General features: G+C 50.5%; 2 protein-coding genes across 19 annotated transcripts in view, besides 5 other annotated features; both read right to left on the bottom strand.

Annotated features, from left to right (window-relative positions):
- The window catches only part of DDOST (dolichyl-diphosphooligosaccharide--protein glycosyltransferase non-catalytic subunit), a 9,593-nt gene extending 781 nt beyond the window's left edge, over nucleotides 1–8,812 (bottom strand). Inside the window, exons 1-10 of the mRNA NM_005216.5 lie at nucleotides 8,640–8,812; nucleotides 8,324–8,434; nucleotides 3,544–3,630; nucleotides 3,119–3,222; nucleotides 2,883–2,977; nucleotides 2,057–2,150; nucleotides 1,666–1,814; nucleotides 1,070–1,217; nucleotides 294–414; nucleotides 64–170 (exon numbers count right to left, since the gene is read on the bottom strand). Of these exons, the coding sequence (NP_005207.3) occupies nucleotides 64–170; nucleotides 294–414; nucleotides 1,070–1,217; nucleotides 1,666–1,814; nucleotides 2,057–2,150; nucleotides 2,883–2,977; nucleotides 3,119–3,222; nucleotides 3,544–3,630; nucleotides 8,324–8,434; nucleotides 8,640–8,793 (1,170 nt within the window). The 5' untranslated portion in view covers nucleotides 8,794–8,812. The remainder of the gene's footprint in view (nucleotides 1–63; nucleotides 171–293; nucleotides 415–1,069; nucleotides 1,218–1,665; nucleotides 1,815–2,056; nucleotides 2,151–2,882; nucleotides 2,978–3,118; nucleotides 3,223–3,543; nucleotides 3,631–8,323; nucleotides 8,435–8,639) is intronic.
- Nucleotides 8,191–9,110: an enhancer, noted in NCBI's record as "OCT4-NANOG-H3K27ac-H3K4me1 hESC enhancer chr1:20987241-20988160 (GRCh37/hg19 assembly coordinates)". NCBI's record gives its function as "activates a minimal SCP1, AML or CMV promoter by ChIP-STARR-seq in naive H9 embryonic stem cells {active_cell/tissue: H9 hESC(naive)}" and the evidence as "EXISTENCE:reporter gene assay evidence [ECO:0000049][PMID:30033119]".
- Nucleotides 8,191–9,157: a biological region, named in NCBI's record as "OCT4-NANOG-H3K27ac-H3K4me1 hESC enhancer GRCh37_chr1:20987241-20988160".
- Nucleotides 9,008–9,157: a silencer, noted in NCBI's record as "silent region_367". NCBI's record gives its function as "represses an Ori minimal core promoter by ATAC-STARR-seq in GM12878 lymphoblastoid cells {active_cell/tissue: GM12878}" and the evidence as "EXISTENCE:reporter gene assay evidence [ECO:0000049][PMID:35858748]".
- Nucleotides 9,073–25,351, bottom strand: part of KIF17 (kinesin family member 17) — a 56,378-nt gene continuing 40,099 nt past the window's right edge. For 3 of the 18 annotated variants that reach the window (XM_047426146.1, XM_047426158.1, XM_047426160.1), the window contains 5 exons: nucleotides 19,385–19,639; nucleotides 17,864–17,934; nucleotides 13,657–13,774; nucleotides 12,068–12,205; nucleotides 11,457–11,752 (listed from right to left, as the gene is read on the bottom strand). In XM_047426146.1, coding sequence (XP_047282102.1) covers nucleotides 11,606–11,752; nucleotides 12,068–12,205; nucleotides 13,657–13,774; nucleotides 17,864–17,934; nucleotides 19,385–19,639 — 729 coding nt within the window. In that variant the 3' untranslated portion in view covers nucleotides 11,457–11,605. Of the gene's footprint in view, nucleotides 9,285–9,557; nucleotides 9,832–11,456; nucleotides 12,206–13,656; nucleotides 13,775–17,863; nucleotides 17,935–19,380; nucleotides 19,640–25,351 lie in introns of those variants that run through there. The other 15 variants (NM_020816.4, NM_001287212.2, XR_007062426.1 and 12 more) reach the window with 14 other exon arrangements.
- Nucleotides 9,111–10,030: an enhancer, noted in NCBI's record as "OCT4-NANOG-H3K27ac-H3K4me1 hESC enhancer chr1:20988161-20989080 (GRCh37/hg19 assembly coordinates)". NCBI's record gives its function as "activates a minimal SCP1, AML or CMV promoter by ChIP-STARR-seq in primed H9 embryonic stem cells {active_cell/tissue: H9 hESC(primed)}" and the evidence as "EXISTENCE:reporter gene assay evidence [ECO:0000049][PMID:30033119]".
- Nucleotides 9,438–9,547: an enhancer, noted in NCBI's record as "active region_323". NCBI's record gives its function as "activates an Ori minimal core promoter by ATAC-STARR-seq in GM12878 lymphoblastoid cells {active_cell/tissue: GM12878}" and the evidence as "EXISTENCE:reporter gene assay evidence [ECO:0000049][PMID:35858748]".

Consider the following 25,351-nt stretch of genomic DNA (forward strand, 5'->3'; position numbering starts at 1 on the left):
GCCACTGCAGAGCCCAGGCAGGGCACATGCTAGCTGAAAACAGAAGCTGTCACCTGTGCTTACCTGAGTGGAAGAGTACAGGTGTGTGTAGCCTAGCCGGTTGTAATCCACTTTAAACTGGAATACACCATACACGTCGGGCAACTTGAACTGAACACTGTATTTGCCACCTGCGGAAGAACCAACAAGAATAACCGGGAGGGGTTTCCCAGAGCTTTTCCTGGTTGGGCCTCGAGAGCAAGTGAGGCCTGGGGCCGTTTCTGGCAGCATCCTCGTGCAGGAACTACACTCACCTTTCTTCTTCAGGAAGGTCCTCACAAAAGGATCAATGCGGACAAACTCCAGCTGAATGTCATCGCCATCAAAGGGGACCCATTTGCCATTTGAGAGCTGCTGGATCACGATGCTATACTCCTGAGATAAAAGGCCAGGTTAGCCAGGGCTGGCCATGACTGGAGGCCTTCCACCACCTGCAGGCAGAGCTGCACTTAATTCCCACCCGACGAACATGGCAGGAATGCCCAGGAGTTCAGAAGACCTGCAGATGCCCCTGCCACCCGGCCCTGATCAGTAACCAGTCTCTCTCCTCAGCAAGGTTAATCCCCCAACACAGCATCTCTGCCTCTTCTCTGAAGGCCTAGATTCCTTCACACAGTATTCATGGCCCATCAAAGTCTGGACCCAAACCACCCTCCTGCCCCGACATGTGCCAGGCACTTTCAAGTATTCATGCTTCCATATTCGCTTTCTCTTGCCTAACAAATTCAACCTAATGACCTATTTCTCTTATTAAGTCCAACTTCCTGGGCAGAGTTAATCAGTGAAGCCCCTCCCACTGCTGCCCCCCATAGCAAATACACACACCTCTTCAAAAGAAGTGCTCCTATTAGGACATCAGTTTTCACGCCAGGCTCTGCATCTCACCTGGCATGCTTAGGTGTAGGGATTAACTTATTCATCTTTATTTATGCCCTTTAGGCCAGCAAAGAAGTGTTCAATAAGTGCTTCTGAGCTGAGCTCAGTCAGCTTGGCAAACCCTTTGGGCCCTCCCACCCCAAACATCTCTTACCACTAGGTCAGTGACAGTGTAGGCATTGGGTGGGGCTGTCTCGCCCACCCGATGATGGGACACAGGCCCCACACGGAGGACACCCTCCTCCTTGAACACCCAGCGGGAGAGGGCCACAGCTAGTTCATAGTTGCCTGTCTGGGAATACCTGCAGGAGGGAAACAGGAGCAGCTTGGGCACCAGAGCCACCTTTCCAGTGGTGCCTGATGGGCAGGACCACTCATGTCCACCATGACAGTACCCTAGCGAAGTTCTGCCTGTAGGCCTTGGGCACCTAGGGACTCATGGTTAAAGGGAACGCAGGAAACAAACGAAAAGATATGGCTGGTTGCTTGTCATCTGCACAACAAATACACAAATTTCTAAAAGGAACGGTGGAGGTTAGGGATCTCTAGATAAGTCACTACTACCTTAAAAAATTGGAAGTGCCAATACCAGCAATATAGCAATAAAGCCCTGAAATAATCTGACAGCACCTGAAACACTCAGCCTCTGACACTTTTAGCTAAAAGCCTCCTTCTTCCCCTTCTGAGTCCTCCCCATATACACACACTGCACCACCCGGATCCCCGGCCCCTAAGCCTCCTGGCAGCTACCTCTGGGAGCCGGGCGCCGCCTTCTGCACTGCTGAGTTGAAGAAGGAGTCGCTGAAGAAGTCGAGGGAGCCGCTGAAGATGACGCGGGCATTGTTCCTGGCCTGGAGCCCAGCAATGAGGAGGGTGTTCTTCCCCACCGCATGTGGATACTGGGAACAAAACGAGGCTGTGACCCAAGCAGTTCCAAGTAAGGGAAAAGCTGCCACGCCTCCCGAACAAGAGGACAGCAGGCCAGACCAAAACGACCCTGGCCCTACCTGAAGGGGGAGCCTGAGACCACACCGCTTCTGCCCATGCCCCACCCCACCAACTAGTCATTTCCTTCGCCTCAGCCAAATGTGCTGTTCTGCTTCATTTTTATTTCGAAGCCTCAAGGTTGTGAAGCCCTTACCTGGGTGATAGGCTTGTCCGGGAAGAAGGAGTAAGAGGTGGAAGAGCCCGTCAGGATGTCCAGCACCAAAGGGTTATCAGGATCGGCCACCATCCTGCAGCAGGACGAGAGCAGCCCAGCACTGGCCCCAGGAACTGAGCCCAAGGACATGGGATCCCCGAGAGCCAGTTCTTCCCAGGAATGAATCCTTTTTTCTTAATTGCCAACCACTTAGCTCTTGTCTTGATATAACAATGGAGTCTGACTTGTTTTTGTTTTTGTTTTTCAGACAGACCTCGCTCTGCCACCTGGGCTGGAGTGCAGTGGCACAACCTTGGCTCACTGCAACCTCCGCCTCCTGGGTTCAAGCAATTCTCTTGCATCAGCCTCCCAAGTAGCTGGGACTACAGGCACACACCACCATACCTGTCTAATTTTTGTATTTTTAGCAGAGACGGGGTTTCACCATGTTGGCCAGGCTGGTCTCAAACGCCTGACCTCGGGTGATCTGCCCACCTCAGCCTCCCAAAGTGCTGGGATTACAGGTGTGAGCCACTGCGCTCGGCCAACTTTTTTTTGTTTTTTTTTTTTTTTTTTTTTTTTAAAGAGAGGAGTTCTGTGTTGCCCAGGCTGCTCTCAAACTCCTGGCCTCAAGCGATCCTCCTGCCTAGGCCTTCCCAAAGCGCTGGGATTACAGGTTGAGCCACTATACTCGGCCTTGATATAACAAATTAATCCCATCTACGTACCCTTAAAGAATTACAATTTTGCCTTGATTTCCCAAAAAAATTAAGTGACCCCTTCTTCCCCCAGGTTTCTGCTGTCCTCTCCCTGCTCACTCACTCACCCAACACCTCGAAAGAGGATGGGATTTAGAGATGATTTCCCAACGATGGTTGGGGCCTTCAGCAGGTTCTCAGTGTCAGCCACGATGAGCGTATGCTGCAAAGAGTAGATGGAAAGGTGGGTGGTCAGGAAAAGGTTCCCCAAGCCAGGGAGAACCTCCTCACACCCTCTTGGCTTTTGGCTAAGCAGAGCTTTGCCATATGCCCCTGAAACCTGGAAGGTGACAGGCCTGATTACCTGGCCAAGGTCTGAGATGTCATAGTTGTGATGGTCAATGACAGCCGTTTTCTCCTCGTCAAACTCAATCCCGCACTCACTGCCCAGCTCTCGAAGAGGGTCACCTGCACAGACCGAAGAGACACCTAGCTGAGCCCTTACAGGGGGGCCTTGGGCCAAGTGTCCTTGGCTTCCTTGTGACTCCCTCTCTGTCAGCCCCAGTGCCCTGCAGCTTCATCCAGCTGGGCTCAGCCCCAGATGGACCCCTGGACAGCAGTGTGGTATTCTGCCTCCAGGAGTCAGATTCTGAACTGAGAAAACGGTTCCCTCACTGACTCCCCAGCTAAGGCCCACCCAGTGAATGCTAATTTGGCAGCTTCTGTTTGTAATGCTCTCCAACTCCCTGGAGAAGTGGAAAGCACCAGAACCTCCCAGGTCGGACTCACCAATGTCGGAGCTGGCAGCTACCAGCACACTGCCTCCGCCGTCAATAAAGGCACTGATGGTCTCCACGTTGATGTTGCCTCCAAAATCTGAAAGCAGGCACCAGACACAGTGACCCAGAGGTCTCCTCTCCCTGCTCCTCTGACACTGGCAGGGAGGGGACATGAAGGGCAGAGCAGCCACGATCACTCACAGAGCAGCACCCTCTGGGGGCCACAATGAGGGAGAGGCTTCCCACACCACATCCCAGAACGGGCAAGGCCCCATCCTCGCAGCGTGAAGACTCAAAATTATGGCTCAGAATTAGAAACTTCTGGAGGTTTGGAGGAAACAGTCAAACATCCACTAATTGCACTGGTCAAGTAAGCTGTACACATTTCAACTCACATAGGAAATATGCATTTGGAAATGCCGTACTGCCCATATTTCATCTCATCACCTGCACCTTTCACGCTAGTGATGCTGATCACTGGAGCCAGTTTCCAGAGCCTGTCAATTCCACCCTGTCTAAATGGTCTGAGGAAGAGCACTTCTGCATCTCCAGTGATGCCATCACTTGACAATAGTACTCCCTGGTCTGGCATTAATCCATTTTTCCCTATTAATCCTACAGATTCTATCCATGACATCCACAACAGAGCTACCCAGTACACTGCTTTTTAAAAAGTGATCACCAAAAGGGCTCATTAATTTCCAACATCTGTAACTGTGAGATCCTATCCTTTTCTGGTCAATTAATTGGATCATGTGACTACTGCCATAAGCATCTAAAACTAGCACTGGGTGGGGCTATTTGAGGCTCCAGAGTCTCCCCAAAGTGTACTCTGATATTCAACCTAAGGTAATGAAGACAGTGCTCAGTAATCCATTTATTCATTAAATGAGTAATTCTTGTGAGCCGAGAAGAAAAACAAAGTGGACAATGTGGGAGGGGAGCTCTTGTGCCAAGGTTGTTTAAGGAAGACCTGCAAGTGGCATCTGAAAAGATGTAAGCGTGAGCCAGGCAGTCTGTGGGGTCAGAGGATTCCCAGCACAGTGAACACCAGGTGCAAAGTCCCCGAGGGGGGTGGGCACGGTCACCAGCAAGGGGCCCAGTGTGGCTTAGCTGGAGAGAAAGGAGTGAGCAGCAGGAGGTAAGGCCGGGTGAAGTGAGGGCCCAGGCTGCGCAGGGCTCTGCACCCCACACGAGGGACCTGCCGTGGGGAGCCGCTGGACGATTCTGAGCAGGGGCCTGGCAGGATCTCATTCCTATTTTTGAAGGACGATCCTGGCAGCGGGGTAGAGACTAGGGTACGAGGGTGAAAGTGGCCATGGTGATGGGTTAGAAGGCCACTGTGAAAATCTAGGCAGTGAAGAGTGCTGAGCCGACCTTGGAGCAGCAACAGAGGGAGGCGCGGCAGGCCTCCACGCCTTCTGATGGCACAGCCGCAGGGCCTGCTGATGCTTCGACAGGGGCATTAGAAAAGCTCCAAGGAGTCTGGCTGAGCAACCGGAAGGACGGACATGCCAATTTCTGAGACTGGACAGAGAAGTGTGTCCATTAGACCCTCAGTAGCAGGTGGAAATGACTTTGTAAAGATCTGAATATAAGAGCCCTGTTTTTTGAGGGGTAATCTTCAGCAGAAAACTAAAAGCGCCTTACCTGACTGACTTTCAGGCATACGCAGAAGCTCCTATATTCTCTACCTCTGCCTCTCATGCTACATTCAAAAAGCCATCTATCTACTCTCCTTTGGAGAGGCCAGGCAGTCTTGGACATTCCAAAAGCAGCCTATTGGCACAGTGCAGTGGTTTGCAATCTTGGCCGATTTTGCCCCTCAGAGCAATGTCTGGAGACATTTCTTCGCCGTCACATAACAGGGAAGTGGCCACTGGCATTAATGGGCAGAGGCCCGGGTGCTGTTAAACACCCTACAGTACACAGGACAGCCTCACTATAAAATTATCCAGTCTGAAACGTCAAGAATGCACCTGTTGAGAAACTCTTGTAAAGCTGACAGAACACGGGCTTTGAAATCGAGACCACCTGGAGTTAAAACTAGGCAAATCCCTTCACCCTTCTGAACCCACTTCCCCATCTATAACAGGGATCCGGTTTTTCCCGGGTATAGAGGATGTGCTGAAAATTTCTTCCCTTGTAGACATGATTGCCAGTGACCTGGGAGCCTTCCGATGCCAGAGGGCAAAGAAGCCACTGGGGCACAGACAGGGAAGCCAGGCCAGCACTCACTCACCTGAGAGGGTGACAGTGACAGTAGTCATGGGACGAGGGCAGGGCCCTGGGAGCAGACACCAAACCCCTACCCCGAACCCTGCCCTGCAGCTTCCTCCCAAGGAACGCCTGAGGATTTCCCACAGCAGCACCTTCCAAAGTGTGGAACCCACTCCACCAGAGGCAGAAAAGGCAGCAACGCGAATGCGGGAACCGGGCTTTAAATAACCTTGAATCTCAGAGACAGAAAGTTACTCCCTTTCCTTATTTTTCAAGCTTTCTCCATCAAAGAGAATGTCTTAGTTTGATACTAGTTGTTAGAGCTTCTAATGCTTGCTAATCTCCTTTTTCAAGAGGGAACCTCAGGTTCAAAGCCTTCGGCAGGCAGCAGCATCTGGCTAGAACTTACGGGTGTTGTTTTTATTCTATTTATAGTTACCTTCTACGTACATCAAGTGATGACACTGGATTTCCATTTTCGGTGGTAATTCTGGGCTCGCTATTGTTTCCCTTTTAAAATGTTGTTTTAGTTTTTTTTCTCTTTTCTTTTTTTTTTTTTTTTTGAGACAGGGTCTTGCTCTGTCGCTTAGGCTGGAGTGCAGTTGGCATGATCTCAGCTCACTGCAGCCTTGACCACCGAGGGTCAGCAATCCTCCCACCTCAGCTTCCCCAGTAGCTGGGACTACAGGCATGCACCACCACGCCCGGCTAATTTTGTTCATTTTTTTGTAGAGATGAGGTCTCACTATGTTGCCCAGGCTAGTCTCAAACTCCTGGACTCAAGCAATCCTTCTGCCTCGGCCTCCCAAAGTGATGGGATTACAGGGATAAGCTATCATACCTAGCCTTTTCTTTTTTTTTTTTTTAAGCAGGTCAATTTGAAGAAAAATATTAGGTAGTTATTAGCACAGGAGATACGTAACATGGTAAAAACCATGAAGGACGTGTGCAAATGACTAAAGTTTGGGAAACACTGTTTTACACTCTCTGTCGTTTCTCCCACCAACAGTATCCTCTCTCAGCCCTCTCCCGAGCAGTCTCATTCACTGCTTTTTTCCTTCTGACCTATACAAGCTGACAGTGCCTCCGCTTCATCTTACATCCTGACACAGGGTTTGGTAACTCATTTCAGGTCTTTATTTCCTCAAAAACAGACTGAAAAAACTCCTCCAGGGCAGACTCCCTATCCTTAAGATCTCACCCAGTCCACTGTAAGGTACCTATTTCAAAGTTTCAAACACAGCAAAAACTTGGCAAACACCAGTTACTGCACCGAAGCCCAGTCATCAGAAGATTTCAACTTCTACCAATTTGGGGTGACATCCGCCTAACTAATCTTGCCTCCAAAAAGCCAATTCCAAAAGCACATGTTGCAAGGGAGTTGGGAGTGACACAGTAAGTAACAGAAGCCTAGGGAAAGTACTTGAGGGATTCGGTGGAACTGAATCTCGCATGAACTACAGAGAATAAAGAAGCCATGTCCCAGTTATTCAGGAGGCTGAGGAGGGAGGATCACTTGAACCTGGGAGGTCGAGGCTGCAGTAAGCCATGATAGCACCACTGCACTCAGCCTGGGGGACAAAGCAAGACCCTGTCTCAAAAAAACAAACAAACAAAAAAGGCACCAATGAAGAACTTCCTAAGCTTCATTAACTGAAGGGAGGAAGGCAGTCCTGTCTTACCCAGACAGGGACAACTTGAGTCTTTTAAGAAAAAGATAAACTGAAGCAAATAAAGAAGAGAATGACTAACATGCTCACCAAAAAAGTATGGCAAAAGAGAAATAGCTAAGGAGCTGGGGATGTTCAGTCTGGAGGAGAAACAACCGAATAAGCTGTGATTATGTGAAGGCTATGCCTGCAAACAAGATAAGCATTCTATCTATTCTCTAAGGTGCTGGGGAGCATAAGAACAAAATAAAGCAGGAGACAATATTTCTTAATATAAGAACTTCTTAACAGAATTGTTCAGTGGTGGAGTGGATTGCCTCGTAAAACAAGAATACTCAAGTATCAACTGGATAATCTGGCCAAGATATTCATTCTGTTAAACGACTAGCCCACTGCAAGGCTGCTGGACATATTTATCCAGCCTCAAATGGGAGGAGGGGTGGGGTGGTAGATAATTGCTAAGGCTCTTTTTTCAGCCCGAGACTATGAATCTATCTGAATTCTTAAGATCAACTGCCACAATGCACAATGCCTCTTTATAGCAATCCATATTAATAACAGGCCATTTCCTCTTTCCACCCAGGCAAACCCAACCCAGGAGCTTTCCATCTTTTTATCAGGCCCTTTACAGAGTAAACTCCCTTCTCAGCAGAGCAGCAGGGCCCTGGGTTCCACGGTCTGCAGCAACACTTGACTCCACAATCCTTAGCTGTTTCTTTTAGAAAGATGTACCCTCCTAGGGTCAGGTCAGAAATGAGCATTTTCCTTATCTCCGTGGTAGCACCATCCAGGACTGGCAACCCATCCTGTGACCCAGGACATGCCCAAGAACCAGAAGAAAGCAATCCATCAAGTCCCGGGTCTCGAATTCCAGTGCTAGGGGCGACGCGGAACCCTTACCTTCTACCGAAGGGGAGAAAATGATGAGATTGTCATAGAGGAATTCCCCATACTTTATGAGAGACAGGCTGGGGTCATCAGCGGTCTTGAATGTGAGCTCAAAGCCCCGGTCTGGACAAGAAAAAACAGGTAGTTGAGGAAGACGGGACGCGAAGGGAAACCCCTGCTGCAGACATCGCGGACCCGCACGCCAAGCGGCAGGCCAGACCCGGGCGGCCTGCTCCAGGAAAGGGAGAGGGAAGGAGAGTGGTCAATGCCCTCGATGCTGTACCAACCCCAGGCCCCCACACGCTACCCCCTCGGACCCCGCTCTCACCCTTCAGGCTCCGGAAGAAAAGCGAATGAGTCTCCCGCACGTTGAGGTTGTCCAGCAGCACTAAGGTGCGGGGTCCGCTGGCGCAAACCGCGCCAAGCAAGGGCAGCAGCAACCAAAAGAGGGCCCAAGCCCGGGCCGCGGTGCTGGGCTCCATCTTCCTCCTCCTGCCGAAGGACCCAGCACGTGCACACCGGAAGTACCCCATCTACGGTAGCCCAATCGCGGCTCGTGCCCGTGGAGCACTACCCGGAAGTGATCGGGATACGCCGCGGCTGGGCGTCCAGAGCCGCAGCTTTGGCGATAAGGCGCGGAGAGCGCCGCCGGAAGTGCCCTGGTGGGAGGTGGATTCCTTGAACCCTATTGGTGGGAGTGAATCAAGGCCCCGTCCCCCTAAAGAAAAGGCTCAATCCTAGAGAGACAGCTCTGCAGCCGCGGCCAATCAACGAGGCCGAGCGCCCTTTGCTCCGCCCAGGCCGGCCTCCCGCCCCCTAGTCTGGAGCCCACTTCCCTCTGGAGCTTGCGGGGTCCTCCCCGGGCTTGACCGTCGCGTCCTGGACAGGGTGTTTGGCCACCTTCTTGCTGGCGGGGTCTTCACTGGGCCTGGGAAGGCTCGGGACCAGGAACTAGGCCCCACCTCCACCATTTCTAGGGAGGAGGAGTTGGAAGAATAAGATCAGGGTCAGGGCACTTGGAGCCTCCTTCCTGCCGCTCACGGCTCCAGGGGCCATGGCATGGACGGGCCTGTGCTGCCCAGCTCGGTGGCCCACGCTGGAGACTGTGGATGGGCAGTAGACTGGCCTAGCGATGGTTCCATTTCCAAGTTGCATCTCTCACTAGCCGTTACCCGGGCATTGCACTTCTCTCCAGGACAGTTTCCCTGGCTGTAAATAGGACTAAGGACGAGGTCCAGCTCCGCTGTTTATCTGTGTGCCTTAGGAACAGCCATTTAATTACCTCATCTCTGGGCTCTTGGGAGGAACATGGCAGGTTTTGAAGCACTTAGCGCCGGGCTAGAGTGAACATCCATTCAATAATGTGGCTCCCACCTCTTCTAGGTTAATACAGAGGCCACCCGGTTCATCTCAGACCTGCCTTTGTCCACCAGGGGTTTAAGTAAAAACTACCACAAGCAGCAAGACTTCCACCGTCCTCTGGGTCCCAACCACAATCCTGAGGCCAATGGTGACGGCAACTGTAGAGACAGAAGGTAGCAGTTCCTTTCGGACACTTGTCCACCAACCCAAGAATGGAGCAAAAATCAAAACCTCCCTCCATACATCTTCTTAACGGACTCTACTTCCTCTCCATTCCCACTGGCTCTGCCCCAAGTTAAGCCTCTGCAGAGCTCCTGGCTCCTGCACCCTAACTCCTGCCCTTCCACCCTCGACACACAGTACCACATCCGCCCGCCTCTAATTCAGAGCCAACAGTGTTAAACTGTTAAGAGTCGGCCACGGCACAGGGACACCCCAAGGCTCTTTGCTCTCAGGTCTCCACCTACACTCATCTCAGCAGCCTCGTCCCCTCTCAGTCCTTGCTCAGGGCTTCCATGGAACAGGAATGGCCCAGCCTTTAACACCCTGAGTTCCACACCTCCTGCCTTTTGCTTTGCAGCGCTCTCCGCCAGGAGCGCCCTCCTTACACCCCCATCTTAAACCTCCTGGGATCTTCTCCATCCTTTCTGGGAGCCCCACCCAGCACTGCTCCCTTCAGAAAGGCACTCTTTGTTCCCCATAAAGACCTGATATCGACCAGGCGCGGTGGCTCACACCTGTAATCCCAGCACTTTGGCAGGCCGAGGTGGGCAGATCACTTGAGGTCAGGAGTTCGTGACCAGCCTGGCCAACATGGTGAAACCGCATCTCTAATACAAAAAATTTAGCCGGGCGTGGTGGTGGGCGCCTGTAATCCCAGCTACTCATGAGTCTGAGACAGGAGAATCGCTTGAACCCAGGAGGTGGAGGCTTCAGTGAGCTGAGATTGCCCGCTGCTGCACTCCAGCCTGGGTGACAGAGCGAGACTCAGTCTCAAAGAAAATAAAAATAATTTTTAAAAGACCTGATCTCACCGGCTCTGACTCAGGACGTACTGCTGCCTGCCTCTGGCTGGATATCTCTGTAGTTGTCTAAACACCCCCACCCCAGCTTCTCAAGAGTGTGTGCTCCTTGGCCCAGGCATGTGGCTTGTGGGGCCTGCCATAGAAATTGATACAAAATAGGGAGGAGGAGGACTAACACAGAGCACCTGCTATGCCCCAGGAGCTTTACATACTATCTCATTTAATCTTCACATTAACCCTGTGAGGTGGGCGTTATCCCCATTTCACAGATGAGGCTCAGAGTGAAATGAGGTTCCAGGACTGTGCCAAAGGCCAAGCCTTTTCCCTTAGATTGTGGAGCCCCCCACAGGACTGGCCTGGGATAGAGTGTGCAAGGGGAAGGCTGTGTCCTAGGTACCCCCCTATGTGGGCACAAACAGGGTGGCCTGGATTCATTTCTGGCTATATCAGGACACCCAGTCCCAGCACAGCCCCCAGGACTGTCAAAAGCTGGGCCCTTTTCTGGCCTCAGTGAGACATGGCCCTATTTTCCACAACAAGGGGTCTTGCTTTCCTGGGTCACAGGTCCTTCGAGAATCTAATGAAAATTCAGACGCTCTTCCCAGAAGAATGTACTCACTATTATAGGGAGCTGCAGAAACCCTGGAGGTCCCAGGCAAAAGAACCCTTTTTCCAGAAAGAACTTCCCTGGAATAGCCAGGCCACAATGGCAGGGAGGGGCCCCAAGTGACACTGTCAGAGGGTCAGAGAAGGGGAGCTTATCTTAAAAGCAGTTTATTGGGCAGCTTAATGTGGAGTGGCCTTCCTTGGGCCACAGACCAGCCAGGGGTGGGCAGTGCAGGAAGACCTGCTGTGGGACCCCTGTGCCACCCCATGGGGCAGGGCAGTGCTTAGGAAGTGGGGCCAGTCAGACAGAGGCACAGTTCCTTCCCAGCTGATATTGAGCTTCCTCCACGTGGCAGCTGCTGCCCTCTCCATCAGGGCTGGTGAAGGCCGTGAAGCAGGTCTCAGGCTTTGAGGCAAAGACCAACACTGGTGGGCATGGGTGTGGGCTCTGTGGCAGGTGAGCAGACGGAAACACTGATGTGGTATGAACAGCTGGAGCAGGCCTCTCTAAGGAGGACTATACAGCCTCCGAGGGGCTCCTGCCCAGGGCGGAGGTGGGCTCTCTGGGGAACAGGGAAGGGAATGTGTCTTCCCAGGGCTGAGGGAGCCCTCAGGCCCCGGAGCGCTGTGTGGCAGGTGGGAGGAGACCTGGTTGGGGCTGCCCTGGGAGGGCCTGGCAGTCTCTACATGCCTATAAGGCAGGCAATGGCAAGCAGCTGTGCTCACAGAGGCTCACTGCCAAAGTTGCTTTTGCTTTTCTTACGCTTGGCCTTGGTGAAAGGGATGTCGAGGGACTCGAGGCGGAAGGGCCGGGGCTGGGGCATTTCAGGGGCCTGGGTGGGTGGGATGGCAGAGTTGTTGCTGAGTGGGCAGCTGAGGCCTGGTGGCGAGTTGTGATGTGCTGTGGGGAAGAGGGCAGAGGTGCTGGTAAGCCAGGAGCGCAGGGATGGAGAGAAAATGCCCCAAGTGGGTAGGATGGAGAGCCTGGCCCACCCCACTCCCGCCCCCCTGCCCAGCCAGAGGCCCTGGCCCTGCAGCTGGGACCCCAGGCTCTGCGAGGCTGCTCTGGCTGAGGTCTCAGACCCAGCAACTATGTCTGCATCCAAAGAGGCTGGGCTGGGGAGCTGGGGTTTTAAAGCATCAGACTGAGGCAGCCTGGGATCTCAAGCCAGACAAGTCTGGGTTCAAAGCCCAGCTCCACTGCTTCCTACAACCTTAGAGAAGCTGCTTCGTCTCTGAGCCTCAGTTTCCTCATCTGCAACATGGGCACAATGCCAGGCACTCAATTAATCCTATTCCCCCCGCCCCACCCATTCTGTCTCTTAAATAACCTCAATATATAGAACTCAAATTTGCTCTTTTTTTTTTTTTTTTTTTTTTTTTTTAGAAAAAGTCTTACTCTGTCACCCAGGCTGGAGTGCAGTGGCACTGTGTCAGCTCACTGCAACCTCTGCCTCCCGAGTTCAAGCAATTCTCATGCCTCAGCCTCCCAAGTAGCTGTAATTACAGGCATGCATCACCATACCCAGCTAATTTTTTTTTTTTTTTTTTTTTTTGAGACAGGGTCTCACTCTGTCGCCTAGACCGGAATGCAGTGGCAGGATCTCGAATCACTGCAGCCTCCACCTCCCAAGCTCAAGCGATTCTCCTGCCTCAGCCCCCTGAGTAGTTGGGATTACAGGCACACGCCACTACCGCCCGGCTAATTTTTGTATTTTTAGTAGAGACGGGGTTTCACCATGTTGGCCAGGCTTGTCTTGAACTCCTGGCCTCAAGTGATCCACCCGCCTCAGCCTGCCAATGTGCTGGGATTACAAGGGTGAGCCACTGCACCTGGCCAAGATTTGCTTTTTATTGCTATTTTATTGGAAGCTCTGCGGGCTTTGCTTTCAGTTTTAAAAGCAGATAAAATGAAGTGATGCTTAATTCTTAAAAGCGTGTGTTGCATTTGTGGCCCTTGATAAGTGAAGTCAATCTGCATTTGGAGGAAGTCACAATGCTGGCGTGTGACTCGCCAGGAAGCTGGCGCGTAACTAGTGAGGCCTAAACCCGTGCATCCCCAGCCAGGCCCCTGAGCCATGCACTGAGTGCCTACTAGGGGCCAGGGGAGACAAGACTGGAGCAAAGAGGAGACTCTGTACTGAGCACCAGCGCCCGGGCTGGGCCGTTTCCTCACCTCGTATCACCTAATCCTAAGAAGTTGGTGTTACCCCCCTCATTTTGTAGCTAAGGAAACTGAGGCTCCGAGAGGGAAAGGAGTTTTTGAACCCAGGCCTGTCTGACTTCAAAACTATCCCCTTCACGCCTCTCCCAGTTGTGTGGAGAGGGTGGGGACAGGGGAGGGACACTCACTGAGGCTCTTCCTGGCGTCTGTGCTGAGGATCTGGCTGGCCCGCTTAGATCGGAAGTAGTTGCTGGCAATGTTTTCACTGTTGCTCCGACTGAGCATGAGCCTGTAGCGGTCGTCCTCCTGCCGAGATGCAGATGCCCGTGGTCACGTCCCCTTGTTTGTGCCCCTGGCACAGGGCTCCACAGCCTCTGGTATCCTGGGGCAGTGGGGGCCGCCCCGAGCTTCCCCGAAGTTGTCACAGGGCTGGAGCAGGCACTGCCCACTCTGGTGTACCCTACACCGTAGATCCTGGACTCGGGGGTGGGATCCCAGGCAGCTCGGGGCCAGGAAGTCAGTCTCCAGCCAAGCCTGCACCCGGCCTCCCCTTCCTTGAGATGGGAAGTGCCTTATTCTGTCCTACAAAGCTCAAAACAGGGTGTCCTGCCAGCTCCAACAGGGGGGCCGGGTTGATACACAAGCCCCAAATCTATCACGACATGTTCATAGAATAGGCAATGCGTTGCTATCCTCAGCTCACAGGTACATTTGTGATCATTAGAACTGGAATCCAAACCTTCTTATCACCAAGAGCTATTATTTTTCCCCACTATTATGGACTTGTTTTCTTCAATCTAAATCTCCCTTTTCAGGGAATTGTCCTTCTTCCACTTGACATCCCAGTGGGGTGAGCATTCATAGTGCCCTATACTACATCTGACTCCCATCCTGTTGTTACACAGCTGGACATGTGACCCAGACTGCACCAATCACAGAACCACATCCTCCTAAACACAGTAATTGGTTCAAGAGTAGACACATGACCCAGGCAGAGCCAATCAGAATCTCTCCCCAAGCTCTAGTTTCAGGATGCTTTAAGACAAGGGTTTCCAACCCCCAGGCCATGGACTGGTACCAGTCCCTGGCCTGTTAGGAACTGGGCTGCACAGCAGGAAGTGAGCGGCAGGTGAGCAAGTGAAGCTTCATCTGTATTTGCAGCTGCTCCCCATCACTTGAATTATTGCCTGAGCTGCACCTCTTGTCAGATCAGTGGTGGCATTAGATTCTCATAGGAGGGCAAACCCTATTGTGAACTGCACGTGTGAGGGATCCAGGTTGTGGTTCTTATGAGAATCTAATGCCTGAAGATCTGTCACTGTCTCCCATTACCCCCACATGGGACCGTCTAGTTGCAGGAAAACATGCTCACGGCTCCCACTGATTCTACATGATGGTGAGTTATATAATTATTTCATTATATATTACAATGTAATACTAATAGAAATGAAGTCCACATTAAATGTAATGCACTTGAATCATCCCGAAACTATCAGACCCCCCACCCCGTCCTGACCTGTGGAAAAATTGTCTTCCACGAAACTGGTCCCTGGTGCCAAAAAGACTGGGGACAGTTGCTTTAACAGACCAGGCCTCTCTTCCTTTTGGATCACCAATGGCCAGCAGCCATCCTTCCGGCCATGTGGAGAAAGCCTTCAGTTAGCATACCAAGGGAAGCAGGAACAAGAGGTGAAGACATAGGCCAGGAGCAGTGGCTCACGCCTGTAATCCCAGCACTTTGGGAGGCCAAGGCAGGCGGATCACCTGAGGCCAGGAGTTCAAGACCAGCCTGACCAACATGGAGAAACCCTGTCTCTACTAAAAATGCAAAAAAATTAGCTGGACGTCGTGGTGCATGCCTGTAATCCCAGCTACTCTGGAGGCTGAGGCAAGAGGATCGCTTGAACCTGGGAGGCAGAGGTTGCGGTGAGCTGAGATCGCACAACTGCACTCCAGCCTGGGCAACAAGAGTGAAACTCTGTCTCAAAAAAAAAAAAAGAGGTGGCCGGGCGCGGTGGCTCATGCCTGTAATCCCAGCTCTTTGGGAGGCCAAGGTGGGCAGATCACGAGGTCAGGAGATTGAGACCATCCTGGCTAACATGGTGAAACCCCGTCTCTACTAAAAATACAAAAAATTAGCCGGGCATGGTGGCAGGCACCTGTAGTCCCAGCTACTTGGGAGGCTGAGGCAGGAGAATGGTGTGAACCTGGGAGGCGGAGCTTGCCGTGAGCCGAGATTGCACCACTGCACTCCAGCCTGGGTAACAGAGCAAGACTCCGTCTCAAAAAAAAAAAAAGAGGTGAAGACAGACACAGACCCTGACTGTTTCAGCCCCTAGATCCAGCCGTGCCTGAAACTGGTCCACTTACATGAACTAAAAAATTCCTTATTTTTCTTATGGTTGTTTGCTTTGGTATCTATCGCTTGGAGCTGAAAGCATTCTGACATAACCTCTTTGTGGTCCCAGATTAAGAATGTCTTTTTTCCTGGCAGCAACTTTCCCTTTTTTATGAAGCTGCCAATCAAGCTCTAGACCACCATGAGTGGCCCCTTGCAGCCTGAGTTGCTCAGCCAGAGATGTTTGGTTGGAATTCATTAGCCTAGGAGTGGTCTTATCATAACTGTAAAGGTATATTCTATGTGGGTTTTCTGAAATATTTGTAATGGCTTAAGGCAGAATCAGCTAATTATGGCATACAGACCAAATCTGGCCTGCAGGCTATTTTTGTAAATAAAGTTTTATTGGAACACCATTCATTTGTGTATTACCTGTGGCTGTTTTTGTGCTACAGTGGCAGAGTTGAGTGGCTGTGACAGAGACCACATAGTTCACAAAGCCCAAGATATTTATGATCGGGTCCTTTACAGAAAAATTTTGTTGACCCCTTGTTTTGAACAAAACTCTTAGAGTTTCTCTGTTAACTTAGCTGGTAGTTATTGTCCCCAGCAGCCACCAGAGGCCCAGACACAAGGACACCAAGAGGGGGTCCAGCTGCTTGGGTCCCTCTCTGGTGGCCCTGCCTAGCCTGAGGATCTGTAAATAATAACAACTTTCATATCATTGTTCATGGAGTTGTGTCATGGAAGCTGTGCCTGCTGACCAGGCCACCCCAAGGGACTGGTGGACTCCCGCTGGTGCCCTTCTGTCTGGGCCTCTGGTGGCTGCTGGGGACAGTAGCTCCCAGCTAACTTAAAAAACTGGAAGAGTTTCGTTGAAAACACCCCGCTTAGCTGGGCACAGTGGCTCACGCCTATAATCCCAGCACTTTGGAAGGCTGAAGCGGGCAGATCACGAGGTCAGGAGATCGAGACCATCCTGGCTAACACAGTGAAACCCCGTCTCTACTAAAAATACAAAAAATTAGCCGGGCTTGGTGGCGGGTGCCTGTAGTCCCAGCTACTTGGGAGGCTGAGGCCGGAGAATGGCTGAACCTGGGAGGCAGAGCTTTCAGTGAGCCGAGATCGCACCACTGCACTCTAGCATGGGCGACAGAGCGAGACTCTGTCTCGAAATAATAATAATAATAATAATAATAATAAATAAAATAAAATAAAATAAAATAGAGGCCGGGCGTGGTGGCTCATGCCTGAAATCCCAGCACTCTGGGAGGCTGAGGCAGGAGGATCACAAGGTCAAGAGATCGAGACCATCCTGGCCAACCCGGTGAAACTCTGTCTCTACTAAAAATACAAAAATTAGCTGGGCATGGTGGTGCGCGCCTGTAGTCCCAGCTGAGGCCAAGGCAGGAGAATTGCTTGAACCTGGGAGGCAGAGGTTGCAGTGAGCCAAGATCGCACCACTGCACTCCGGCCTGGTGACAGAGCGAGACTCCATCTCAAAAAAAAAAAAAAAAAAAAAAAAAAAAAAAAAAAAAAAACAACCACCACCACCCATGCTTTAAGAACATGCATTTCTGTTGCACTATAAAATATAGGAGATAGGTCTTGCCACTGAGCTTAGAAAAAGAAAAAAAAAAAAAAAGACAGAATATGAGAGACGGGAAAATAAAGTGACTTAGGAATCCCAATTACTGCTTCATGAACCCTGTGAGGACCCTCTTGGTCTGAGGATTACCAGCAGGAAACCAGAATGTGCTGCTTGTCCTCTGAGTTTGAGGCTGAAGTCTCTGTCCTTCACCGGCAAGATGGGCCACCGAACCATCTACTTTCCCTTGGTATTTATGACTGTGAGTACCTTTGAATGAGGGCCAGAGGGGGTTGAGGGTCTAGGTGCCAATGGAGGGGCATGAAAAGGATCCAGCCTTGGCCCCTTCTTTAATCCTTAGGCGGGAGGAAAGTGGAAAACCAGCTCTCCACAGTAACACTGACCCACAGCACTGGGGGCAAAGCCCTCCCAGCCCCCGACACCCCACTCCCTCTCCCGCGGTCCTCACCATGTTCGGCTCGCCATTGTCTGCTGCAGAGGTTTTGCGGGCTGGTTTGTTCTGTGGCCCAGTTGAAACTGCTATGAGAAAACAAAAGCTGAAGTCACTGCTGCCTGGTGCAAGGCCTAGAGGAGGGCACAGGTGGAGGTGGGGGTCAGGCCTGGCTCAGGCTTAAACAGGGGAGGACACTTCCCAGCCCAAGCCAAGGGATAATTTTAAGAAACAGACAGCAGGAGGGGCTCAGGCACCAGAGAAGACCCTCATCTGCTTGCAGGCAAGACAGCAGCCAAGGGGCTTCCAGGCAAGACAGCAGGCGAGGGTGGGGACAGACAGGAAGGCTGCTGCATCCCAGAGCATGTGGGAAATGGAGGCGGGCTGGGGTCTCAGCAGGGATGGTGTCAATAAACATCAGAGATGTTGGACCTGGATGAACACGCTGAGCAAGAGGGAGGACTCCTGGGGGGCACTGCGGGCTCCCCAAATGGGCAGAGTCAGGTCCACGGCTGGAGAAAGAGCCACAGCATGTCTGGCTTTACTCTGAGACTCATCAGAGGTGAGGAGGCTTTCAAGGTCATCTGATCCAACCCCTTCTTTGTAAAGAAGCCCAGAGAGGGACAGTGATCTTCGGAAGGCCATACGGGAGGTCAGCAGCAAGAGCGGAAGTGGAACCAGGCCTGAAACTCTGAACTGTGGGTTTTGATCCATGGTCCTCCCACTCACTGCTGTGACTGTGACTTTGGACCCTCTGAGATTGTGTCCTCCTATGTGAAATGGGTAGAAAACCTGTCTTCTCAGGGCTGTCGTAAGGATGAACCAGTGACAATGCTGATTAGGATAACAATGACATGCAGCGAGCATCACTATGTGCCAGGCACTGCTGTAAGGGTTTTCTGTGTATTAACACATTTCTGGTTTTTGTTTTTTCGGGGTTTGTTTTGAGACAGGGTCGCACTTTGTTACCCAGGCTGGAGTGCAGTGGCACGATCTTGGCTCACTGCAGCCTTGACTTCCCAGGCTCAAGCGATCCTCTCGCCTCAGCCCCCATAGTAGCTGGGACTACAGGTACATGCTGCCATGCCTGGCTAATTTTTCTATTTTTTTTTTTTAGAGACAGGGTTTCACCATGTTGGCCAGGCTGGTCTCGAACTCCTGGACTCAAGCAATCTGCCAGCCTTAGCCTCCCAAAGTGCTGGGATTACAGGCGTGAGCCACCATACCTGGCCTATTAACACATTTCAAACCTTACAGCAACTTTAAGAAAGGTGCTGTTATTCATCCCCATTTCACAGATGAAGACACCGAGTCCCAAAAAGGGCACACAGGGAACGGTGCTGCCAGAATTCCAACCCACATCTGTCTGCCTCCAGAACACACCACTTTCTCAGAGTCCTGACGCATCAGGTACCCAGGGTCACGTGTCTTCTACACCCACAGCCTGCAAGGAGAGGCCCACACTCCCTGCCAGTCTGCAGGATGGTAAGCCGTGAAGGAGGGAGGGGAGGGCAAGGGCCAGCCAAGCTCCTGACCTACTGGGAGGCTGGTTTTTGTGATGACGGGATGTGGGATCTTCCAGAAGCCGTTATCTTCGTCCCAGCAGGACTCACGCAGAATCTTCTCCAGGTTGCTGTAGTTACAGTCCCTGCGAATCAGGGGCTGCACCTGCTCCAGGAGCTGCTGCAAGAGCATGGAGTCACGCTCCTGCCGGCGGATGGTGGCCAAGTAATCGATCTTCTCCAGCTGAAACTCGGACTGCAGATCTTTGATCTCCACCTCTGCTGCCCGAAGCTGAAAGCAAAGGATGACAAGCAGTGAGCAGGGAAAGATACCTCCCCTTCCATCTAACCACCCTGTCCACTCACTGTCCTGCCAGCAGCCACGCATCGTCTGTTCATTGGCCTGATCAGCCATCCATTCTCATCCCCACCATCCATCCAGCCATCCTTCCCTCCATCCATCCATCCACCTCCTCTCACACCCACTGATCCTTCCGTCTATCCAATCACCCTGCTGTCTCTCCACCCAGCATTTAAATGAGCACCTAATGTGTCCCCCCAGCCCTGCAAAATGTAGGGGAAAAGTTGATCAGCAATCCCAACAGCCAGCCCCTCAGTCACTATCTCCCATTGTACATTTTATTCAGGAGCCTTTGAGAAGTCCCCACATCCAACACCACCGTTCTAAAGGATATCAGAGAATTGCACAAGTGACATCTCTAAGGAGGACAACAGGCACAAACTCTCCGACTTGACAATCCTCACTCTCCCACTGCCACAGCCCTGTGTGACGGTGTGACAAACACTGGACCTAAACAATGGACCTAAGAGTAAGACCCACCTTGATCTGATCAAGGGTTCCAGATTCTTTTGGTCTCCTGCTCAAGTCTGCCAGACCGGTCCCCCGGTCCCTCCTGAGCACAGGTGACTGCCAGCCCCAGCCATAACCACCCTCTCCCTGAGCCCCAAGACTACCTGGTGCACAGTCTGTTTCCTCAAAGAGCAGGTACAGTCTGATTAGTAAAGAAGGATGTTTGAGGCAGGGCGTGGTGGCTCACACCTGTAATCCCAGCACTTTGGAAGGCCGAAGCGGGCGGATCACTTGAGGTCAGGAGTTTGAAACCAGCCTGGCCAACATGGTGAAACCCCATCTCTACTAAAAATACAAAAAAATTAGCCAGGTCTGCTGGCACACGCCTGTAATCCCAGCTGTTCAGGAGGCTGAGGTAGAATTACGTGAACCCGGGAGGTGAAGGTGAAGATCACACCAGTGCACTCCAGCCTGGGCGACAGAGTGAGACTCTGTCTCAAAATAAATAAATAAATAAATAGATAAATAAAAATAAAAGAAGGATGTTTGAATTCATGCACTGATACCCATTTGAGAACAGCTGGCAGGACATGGGTGGGCAGGACAGCCACAGAGAGGCTGGTGCACAGGGGTTTCAACTGGATTAACAATGTTCCATTTCTTTTGTTTGTTTGTTTGTTTGTTTGTTTTAAATAGATACGAGGCTCACTTTGTTGACCAGGCTGGTCTCAAACTCCTGGACTCAAGCAGTTCTCCCATCTCAGCTTTCTGAAGTGCTGGGATTACAGGTGTGAGCTACAGTGGCCCAGCCTGCTCCATTTTTTTTTTTTTTTTTGAGACAGATTCACTCTGTCGCCCAGGCTGGAGTGCGGTGGCATGATCTCAGCTCACTACAACTTCTGACTCCAGGGTTTGAGCGATTGTTATGCCTCAACTCCCAAGAAGCTGGGATTACAGGTTTGAGTCACCACGCTCAGCTCATTTTTTGTATTTTTAGCAGAGACGGGGTTTCACCATGTTGGCCAGGCTGATCTCAAACTCCTGACCTCAGGTGATCCACCCACCTCGGCCTCCCAAAGTGTTGGGATTACAGGTGAGCCACCGCGCCCGGCCCTGCTCCATTTCTTAGACTGGGTAGTAAGCACGTGGTGTTAGTGGGTATAATAATCATTATATGTTTTTGTACATCTGGAATCACTAACAATAATTTTTGTTTGTTGTTATTTTTTTAGAGACAGGGTCTCACTCTGTTGCCCAGGCTGGAGTGCAGCGGCACCTTCTCAGCTCACTGTGGCCTCGACGTTCTGGGCTCAAGCAATCTTCCCACCTCAGCCTCCCAAATAGCTGGGACTACAGGTGTGAGCCACCACGCCTAGCTAATTTTTTAATTTACTGTAAAGACAGGATCTCCCTGTGTTGCCCAGGCTTGTCTGGAGTTCCTGGCCTCAAGCAGTCTTTCTGCCTCGGCCCCTCAAAGTCCTGGGATTACAGGTGTGAGCCACTGCACCCAGCACGATAATTTTTGTGACAGTTTTCTTGAGACATAATTCATATAATTCATATGCCATAAAATTCTCACTCTGTCACCAAGCTGGAGTGCAGTGGCATGATCTTGGTTCACTGTAGCCTCGACCTCCCAGTCCTCCCTCTCTTCCAGTCCTCAGCCTCCTGAGTAGCAGGGACTCCAGGTGCATGCCACCACATCTGGCTAATATTTTTAAAATTTGTTGTAGAGGCAGGGTTTCCCCCATGTTGTCCAGGCTGGTCTTGAACTCCTGGGTTCAAGCGATCCTCCCACTTCGGCCTCCCAAAGTGCTGGGATTATAGGCATGAGCCACTGCACCATCCAATTTATCCCTCTTTTTTTTTTTTTTTTAAGTAACTTGTGCTTTTGGTGTCATACCTAAGAAACCACTGCCTAATCCAAGGTAGCAAAGATTTACACCTACGTTTTCTTCCAAGAGTTTTACAGTTTTGGCTCTTACATTTAGGTTTGGATCCATTTTGAGTTAATTTTTGTATGGAGTGTGAGGTAGGTGTCCAACATTATTCATTGGCATGTGAATATCCAGTTGTCCCCGCACCATTTATTGACAAGACTGTCCTTTCACCACTGAATTATCTTGGCATCCTTATCAAAAATCAATTGACAGGCTGGGCGTGGTGTCTCACTCCTGTAATCCCAGCACTTTGGGAGGCCGAGGTGGATGGATCACCTGAGGTCAGGAGTTCGAGACCAGCCTGACCAATATGGTGAAATCCCATCTCTACTAAAAAATACTAAAATTAGCCGGACATGGTGGCATGTGCCTGTAGTCCCAGCTACTTGGGAGGCTGAGACAGGAGAATTGCTTGAACCTGGGAGGCAGAGGTTGCAGTGAGCCAAGATCACGCCACTGCACTCCAGCCTGGGTGACAGAGCAAGACTCCATCTCAAAAAAAAAAAAAAGGGCCGGGTGCGGTGGCTCATGCCTATAATCCCAGCACTTTGGGAGGCTGAGGAGGGCGGATCACAAGGCCAGGAGATCAAGACCATCCTGGCTAACACAATGAAACCCCGTCTCTACTAAAAAATACAAAAAATTAGCCGGGCATCTTGGTGGGTGCCTGTAGTCCCAGCTACTCGGGAGGCTGAAGCAGGAGAATGGCGTGAACCCCGGAGGCGGAGCTTGCAGTGAGCTGAGATCACGCCATTGCACTCCAGCCTGGGCGACAAAGCGAGACTCTGTCTCAAAAAAAAAAAAAAAATTAATTGATGACTGTAAATATGAGGGTTTATTTCCGGATGCTCATTTGTATTCCTTTGATCTGTGTGTCTGTCCTCATGCCAGTACCACACAGTCTTGATTACGGTAGCTTTGTAGCAAAGCTTTGCAACCAGGAAGTGTGATTCCCCTCACTTTGTTCTTTTCAAGATTGTTTTGGCTATTTTGAGTCCCTTGAATTTCATTGTAAACTTTAGGATCAGCTTATCAATTTCTGCAAAGAAACCAGCGGGAACTCTAATGGGTATTGCCTTGAATCTGTAGATCAATTTGAGGAGTACTGACCTCTCACCAATATGAGTCTGCCAATTCATATGAACATGAGATGTCTTTCCATTTATTTTGGTCTTCTTAATTACTTTCACATTTTTTCATTGTTTTTGGAATGTAAGTTTTGTACTTCTTTTTGTATAGCTGGGCGTGGTGGTGCACATCTGTAATCCCAGCTACTCAGGAGGCTGAGGCATGAGAATCACTTGAACCCAGGAGATGGAGGTTGCAGTGAGCGGAAATTGTGCCACTGCACTCCAGCCTGAGACTCTGTCTCAAAAAAAGGAAAAAGAAAAAAAGAAAAGACAATATCGAAGCAGCTCCTCACACATGTACCAAGATAAACTCTAACTAGATCATTAATTTACTCTTTTTTCTCTACCCCTGTGACAGATTAAGGATCAGAGATTTAAATGTAAAAAAGACGAAACCATAGAAGTTCTAGAAAAAAAACATGAGGGAATTTTCCCATGATTGAAAATTAATATGCAATAATTTTTTAACAGTTGGTCAATTTGACAAAATCTAAAAATTGAAAATTTTCATATGGCAAAAATATCATAAAGCACAGTAAAAGACAAACTGGAAAAAAATTTACAATTTATATCACAGACCAAGAGCTAATATTCCTAATGTATAAAGAGTTTCTACATGTAGAAAAGAAAAAGAACAAACATGCTAATAGAGAAATGAGCAAAAGAAATAAAAATAATTTGGAGAAAAACTGCAAATGGCCACAAAACATATGAAAAACTATTCAACACTGCTCACAATAAGAAAAATGCAAATTAAAATTGATGCTGGGCACAGTGGCTCACGCCTGTAATCCCAGCACTTTGGGAGGCCAAGGTGGGGCGGATCACTTGAGGTCAGGAGTTCGAGACCAGCCTGGCCAACATGGTGAAACCTTATCTCTACTAAATACAAAAAATTAGCCAGGCGTGGTGGCACATGCCTGTAATGCCAGCTACTTGGGAGGCTGAGGCAGGAGAATCACTTGAACCTGGGGGGCGAAGGTTGCAGTGAGTCGAGATTGCACCATTGCACTCCAGCCTGGGCAAAAGAACGAAACTCCATCTCAGAAAAATAAAATAAAATAAACAACAACAACAACAACAAAAAACTACACTGAGATATTATTTCTCACCTAACAAAGTGGTAAAAATCCAAGTTTTAGGGGCTGTATGCAGTGGCTCATGCCTGTAATCCCAGCACTTTGGGAAGCCAAGGCAGGAGGATCACTTGAGCCCAGGAGTTTGGGACCAGCCTGCGCAACATGGTGAAACCCCGTCGCTACAAAAAATACAAAAATTAGCCAGGCATGGTGGTGCATGCCTGTAGTCCCAGCTATTCGGGAGGCTGAGGTAGGAGGATCACCTGAGCCCAGGAGGTTGAAGTTGCAGTGAGCTGTGATCGTGCCACTGCACTCTAGCATGAGCAACAGGGTGAGACCTCGTCTCAATAAAGAAAAGGAAAATCCAGGTTTTTGTAAATATACTCTGTTGGTGAGAAACACATGGATACATGCTAGTGGAAATGCCAAACAATACAATCCTTATGGAGGAGAAGTTGGCATGTCTAGTGACATCGAGCAAAATCACACTTGCATTACCCTTTGTCCCAGCATCCCTAGTTGGAGGAATAGATTCCAAAGAAACCTACCAAGAATACAGAAGTCATATGCACAGGCTGTTTACTACAGCAGCCTTTATTATTACAAGATATTGGAAACACCCCAAGTGTTTATCAAGAGAGGACTGACTCAATAAGCAATGATCCAGCCTCACAATGGAGAGCTATGTAGTTGTCAAAGAATGAGGAGGCCAGGCGTAGTGGCTCACGTCTGTAATCCCAGCACTTTGAGAGGCCGAGGTGGGTGGATCACCTGAGATCAGGAGTTCAAGACCAGCCTGGCCACCACAGTGAAACCTCATCTCTACTAAAAAATACAAAAATTAGCCGGGCATGGGTGGTGCACGCCTGTAGTCCCAGCTACTCGGGAGGCTGAGGTGGGAGAATCTCTTGAACCCAGGAGGTGGAGATTGCAGTGAGCCGAGCTCAGGCCACTGCACTCCAGCCTGAGCAACAGAGCGAGACTCCGTCTCAAAAACAGAAAAGAATGAGGAGTATCTCTCCATACTGCTGTGACCTTCAGGAT

The sequence above is a fragment of the Homo sapiens genome, chromosome 1 (genome assembly GCF_000001405.40).
Source record: "Homo sapiens chromosome 1, GRCh38.p14 Primary Assembly".
NCBI lineage: Eukaryota > Metazoa > Chordata > Mammalia > Primates > Hominidae > Homo > Homo sapiens.